This window comes from Homo sapiens, chromosome 15 (genome assembly GCF_000001405.40).
Source record: "Homo sapiens chromosome 15, GRCh38.p14 Primary Assembly".
NCBI classification, from domain to species: Eukaryota; Metazoa; Chordata; class Mammalia; order Primates; family Hominidae; genus Homo; species Homo sapiens.
The window spans coordinates 63,310,610-63,317,332 of NC_000015.10; positions in this window are offsets into that span (position 1 = coordinate 63,310,610).

Sequence of the window (6,723 nt, forward strand, 5' to 3'; positions counted from 1 at the left end):
AACTTGCTGGTGATCTTGATAAAAACAAGATGGAAATCAGAGTGAACACCTGAATAGAATGGATTGTACGGAACAGGAGATGAGGAAGTAGACACAGCATTGAGAACACAGGTATTGTAGAGCAGTGGGATGATGAACCTAAGGAGGATGTGGGGGAAAGAGAGTTTTTTTTTCTTTTTTTCCTTATGATGTAGACTGTAACTGTAACTGCATGTTTATGTTAAGATAAGAATGACTCCATAGAAAGGAAAAAATGACGTAGGAGAGGGATAGGATAGTTGCCAAAGCAAAGACCTGAAAGAGGGAATAGAGAGGGAAATTCTTTTATTTATTTATTTTGATTTTTTTTTTTTTGAGACAGAATCTCGCTCTGTCACCAAGCTGGGGTGCAGTGGCATGATCTCAGCTCACTGCAACCTCTGCCTTCCAGGTTCAAGCGATTCTCCTGCCTCAGCCTCCCGAGTAGCTGGGACTACAGGTGCGCACCACCATGCCCACCTAATTTTTGTATTTGTAGTAGAGACGGGGTTTCACCACGTTGGCCAGGCTGGTCTTGAACTCTTGGCCTCAAGTGATCTGCCCACCTCAGCCTCCCAAAGTGCTGGGATTACAGGCATGAGTACTGTGCCTGGCCAAGAGAGGGAAATTCTTAACGTTAAATGCTTATATTAGGTAAGGAAAAATATTCAAAATCAATGACCTAAGCCTCTACTTAAGAAACTCGATAAAGAAGAGCAAACTAAAGCTAATATAAGGAGAAGAAATGAAATCATAAAAGAACAGGAACCAAATAAATAGCAGTAAAACAATGGGGAAAAATGAAACAAAAATCTGGTTCTTTGAAAAAAACCAATAAAGCTGGTAAAGCTCTGGCCAGATGGAAAAAAGAGAAGGCACAAGTATCAGTAATGACAGGAGACGTCACTATAGGCCCTACATTATTAAATTAATAAAGGATAGTATGGATAACTTTAATGCCAATAAATTTTAAAACGTAAATGGACAAATTCCTTTTTTAAAAAAACCCACAAAATTCACTCGAGAGGCCGAGGTGGGTGGATCACCTGAGGTCAGGAGTTTGAAACCAGCCTGGCCAACATAGTGAAACCCCATCTCTACTAAAAATACAAAAAATAAACCAGGCGTGGTGATGGGCACCTGTAATCCCAGCTACTTGGGAGGTTGAGGCAGAAGAATCACTTGAACCCAGAAGGCGGAGGTTGCGGTGAGCTGAGATAACACCATTGCACTGCAGCCTGGGCAACAAGAGTGAAACTCCGTCTCAAAAAAAAAAAAAAAAAAAGAAAAGAAAATCTGCATATCCTTCTATGTCTGCAGACTTTGTTTTTTCTTGCCTCTTAATATGCCTTGTAATTATTTGTTGAAAGCTAGACATCGCCTCTTGGGTAATAGGAACTGAATTTTAAAAGCCTTGAGTGTAAATTTTATGTTAATCTAGGTAGGAGTTGGATTATATTTAATGTTTGCTGTGGCTGTTAGTGCCAGAGGCTTCGAATTCCTCTGGTGGTCTTGTTTTTGTCTCCCCTTTTGACTGTGGAGTTCCCTCAGTGCCCCTTTTCAGAGAAAGCCTGTGTCTTGCAACTCGTTCAGCTGTAATCCACTGTAAATTAACACTAGAGCCCTGTTGGTATGGCAGTGCGATGTGGAGGAGGGGACATGTATAATAATAAAATTATAATAATAAAATCTAAATCTCAGTATTTTCATGGGCCTGAATCCCTGGGCTGAGAGTTTCTTAACTTTTTCCCCCTTAGATAAGACAGGAAGCTAGAAGGTGGCTGGAGAAGAAAGGTAACTTTCCCCAGCTGGGTTACGGCTTTGGTAAAGTCTTTTTCCTTGGAGAGAGGCTTTTGTTGTGGAAAACACTCTGGATGTATTTTACAATGAAGACAGTATTTCTCACCCTTACACTAGTCCATACTCAGACTCCAGCAATTTGTCAACATTAGCATTTAAGTGTTACTACCAGTTTATGGCTCCAGCAGCTTGCACTCCAGGTAAGCAAATCTCAGCTGTGACTCTGGATTCACCTCTCTCTCCAGATTTTGGAGTGGTGGTTTACCCTGAGACCTCAGTTCTCTGATGGGTTCAAAAGAATTGTTGATTTTTCCATTTGCTTAGCTTTTTCTTGTAAGGATGGGAGTGATGGCTTCCAAGCTCTTTATATGTTAGAGCTAACTGGACATCCTCTGTATCTATTAAATACGTTGAATTTGTAGTTTTTATAAAGAAAACAATTATTAAAATGTACATGTTTATAGGCAATATAGAATCACTATTACACATAACTTTTTGTTCTGTAACAACTAAACAAAATGTCATGATTGAAATTTCAATTCTCCATATTAAATGGCTATATACACACTATGAAAGAATACCTGGTATGCCAATATTTAAATTTTTTGATAATTTATCAAAGGGATAACTGAACTTGTGTCCTGTTAATTTACCTAATCTAGATCGGATTGATAACAGTGCCACTCGCAGGGAATAAAGTTGTGTGAAATGTTTCTGTTTATCCTACTAGATACCAACATATATCACAAATCTGCACTCATGGATATGAATGTAGAGTTTCAGAACAGGCCCGGGTATATATGGGAATTTCATTTATGGTAAAATTGGCATTTTAAGTCAGTGGGGAAAGCATATGTTATTCAATAAATGGGTCTGTTTGATCATTTATTTGATTATATTTGGGAAAAAAAAGCAAAGCTAAGTTTTTACTTTCACTTATTTAAACATATTAAAGATTCAAATGCAAAAAATAAAACCATAAAAGAATCTTTTAAAATTAGAATAGTTTTATAGTCTAAAGGAGGAGAGCTTTTCTCTACATTTCACTTAGGCTACAAACTACAAAGAGGAAAGAAAACAGATTTGACTACATACAACTTTAAAACTGCAGTGCAAAAGACATTCTAAACAAAGAAGACGGGGAGAAATATTTTTGACATATATAGAATTGTCACCTATAATATATAAAAAGCTTCTATAATTAAAAAAATTAATGATACAGTAAAAAGAGATCAAAGCATATAAACAGATAATTCACAGAAAAAATGCAAACAGTCAATAAACATAAAACAAAATGCTAAACCACGAATAATAAAAGCAAAACAAGAAAATAATTTTGGACTATCAGATTATCAAGGGTGAAAAGGATTGATAATAACAAGGATTGTTGAGCATATGGTAGAAACGACATATTATGAAAAAGGATATTAGTACAACCCTCGGGTGGTAATTTAGCAGAATCTGTTACATTTATGCAGTTTTGAGATGTGCATATTTTGAACCAGCAAATTCCTCTTCTAGGAATTTGTCCCATAGAAATGGTGTGTCAGAGGAAAAAGACCACAAACTCACAGTTTTTTCTATTCTCTGAACAAGCAAGCAATCAGTTCTGCTGCAGACACCGGCTGGGTGTCCTCTAATTCAATTCCAACACTGTCTGCCTGGAGATAGCATCAGATCCCACAGGTTCAGGGCTCAGTCCCCAAAACCACGCTCCCTTCAGACACCAGTTGCATATCCAGGCCTCCTGAACTTCAGACTGACCAACTTCAAGTTGGGGTTCCCACAACCCTGCTTTGGGGTTCAATTAATTTGCTGGAGTGGCTCACAGAACTCAGGGAAACACATTTGCTGGTTTATTATAAAGTGTATTATAAAGGATACAGATGCAGAGATTCATAAGGCGAGGTGTGGTGGAAGCGAGATACAGATGCAGAGATTCATAAGGCGAGGTGTGGTGGAAGCGACACAGAGCTTTCATGTCCTCTCTGGTGTGCCACCCTCCAAGAACCTCCACACGGTCCACTATTGAGAAGCTTCCCAAACTCTGTCCTCTTGAATCTTTTATGGAGACTTCATTACATAGGCATGATTGATTAAACCTTTGGCCATTGGCTGTCAACTTAATCTTGAGCCTCCTCTCCTTCCGAGAGGTTAGGGGTAGTAATCAAAGACCCAACCCTGTAATCCTGCCATGGGCTTTCTGGAGACCAGCCCCATCCTGAAGCTGCCTAGGGACTGCTAGCTTTCAGTCAGTCATCATGTACAAAAAGACATCTCTTTGGAGATTCTAAGGTTTTAGGAATTGTTTGCCAGGAAACAGAGATGAAGATCAAATATATATTTCACAGTATCACAGAAATACATCCAAGTACACATGGATCTTGTAATAGTCTTGTAACAGTAAGGAATTTGCAGCAAGTGCCTATCAATAGGGCATTGCATCAAGCAGCAGGACATTGTATAGCCACTGAAAAGAATGAGGATATCCAGGATGTGCTAGAAAACAAAAGCAAGAATAAAAGATAATTCTTTCATCCAACAAGTATTTCTTATGCCAGACATTGTGCTAGATACTGAAAATTTAAGAATGAAAATAGGCATGATGCTGGGCCTTGTACAGCATATAATATAGAATCCTATTAATACATTTTATTAAAAATTTAAAAATGAGTATAAAAATACATATGAATATACATAATGTCTGGAAAATAAATTGTTAGCTAAAGATAATTGTTTAGCCTAACACTAAATTGTTAAAAGTGACTATTTTGGGAGCTAGGATTATGGGGGGACTTTCTGCTTTATACACAATTATTTGCATTTTTCAAAAAAATAGGCATGCATTATTTATGTAATCAGACAAAACCATAATCTAAGCACTTTCATGATTTCTCTTTGTCCTTGGTAGAAAGTGGATATTATTCAAGGTCTTTTGTAATCTGATCCCAACCACTTTTTTCTGTCTCCCACCTGTAAACCAAAGAAAAAGACCGAGGCAAGCCTCAATTGAGAGGTTTATTTTGTCAAGGTCGAGGATGCACCTAGGAAAAAGGAACACAAATCACAGGAAGTCTGTGATCCATGCTTTTTCCAAAGAGGGTTTTAGGACTTCAATATTTAAAGGGAAAGAAGAGACCATAGGGGAAAGAGGAAAGAAAGAAAAGGGAGGAGGGGGGCTGGGCACAGTCACGCCCGCAATCCCAGCACTTTGGGAGGCCGAGGCGGGCAGATCACGAGGTCAGGAGATCGAGACCATCCTGGCTAATAACGGTGAAAGCCCATCTCTACTAAAAATACAAAAAATTAGCTGGGCGTGGTGGGCACGCACCTGTAGTCCCAGCTACTCGGGAGGCTGAGGCAGGAGAATCGCTTGAACCCGGGAAGTGGAGGTTGCAGTGAGCCGAGATCGCACCACTGCACTCTAGCCTGAGTGACAGAGTGAGACTCCATCTCAAAAAAAAAAAAAAAAAAAAAAAAAAAAAAGGAAAGTAGATAAAAAAGGCAAGAGGTTACATTATCTCAAGACTTTGATTAGGCTTTGATTCGTGCTCACTAAGTCTGCATTTTACTCATGAAAGGAGGGGGTAGAGGAACAGTCAATTATGCATTCATCTTGTGCTCCGAGAATCTGCATTTTTCTGTAAGATAAACACCGAGTAGAGGAAGCAGTCAAATATGCATTTGTCTCAGGTGAGTGAAGGGATGACTTCTGTCTTTCTCCCATACCTGTGAAGATATGCTGTTAATTTACATTGTCGGGGGAAATCCAACAGAATTGTTTCAGGGTAAATATCTTGGGGCCTACAAGGAATTTCCTTGTAAGCAAATTATGTGGAGGGGGGCTCTTCCTGGGGAGGGACTTGGCCCTCTATTTTTGCAGCTAGCTATTTAGAAACAAAATGGAAGGCAGTTTTTGCATGACTCAGTTCCCAAACTGAACTTTTCCCTTTGGCACAGTAAGTTTGGGGTCCCAAGATTTTTATTTTCCTTGCACACACCATTCCCAACCCTCCTTTCTCAGACATTCTCAAACACATCCGTGAGGTCTCCTCTACTGAGATGCACGTTGACTCTCAACCTCCACATTTTAGTTCTTGTTTTTAGCTCCAACCAGAAAATGTCCTATTCCTCCTTCAAGATCCTGCTCAAATGTCACTTCCTTTGGGAAGTCTTTCCTGATTAGGCCCAGAAAAGCAAATAACCTTTTCCACTGTGATCTCTTTACACTTTCCTTTAAAATCAAGGAACAATTTACATACAATAAAACGCACAGATTCAAAGTGTACAGCTGGATGAATTTTACCAAATGTGTACACTTGTGTAAGCTCCACCCCAATCAAGATATAAAACATTTCCTTCCCTGCTGGTTCCGTCTCCCTTCCAGATCATCCACAGGGGCAACCGCTAGTTCCCACTTCTATTGCCATAGATCAGTTTCATTTGTTGTTGTGGGTTTTTTTTGTTTTTTATTTTTTTTTTAAACGGAGCCTTTGTCACCCACGCTGGAGTGCAGTGGCACAATCTCAGCTCACTGCAACCTCTGCCTCCCAGGTTCAGGTGATTCCTTGGCCTCAGCCTACCAAATAGCTGGGACTACAGGCATGCGCCACCACACCCGGCTAATTTTTGTATTTTTAGTAGAGATGGGGTTTCACCATGTTGGCCAGGCTGGTCTCAAACTCCTGACCTCAGGTGATCCGCCCGCCTTGACCTCCTAAAGTGCTGAGATTACAGGCATGAGCCACTGCGCCTGGCCAGTTTCACTTGTTTTTGAACTTCATATACGTAGAGTAACACAAAATGTACTCTTTTGTGTCTGGCGTCTTTCACTCAACATAATTTTCTGAGATATCCTCTATATTTTTGTATATATCAAGAATTTGCTATTTTTATTGCTGAATA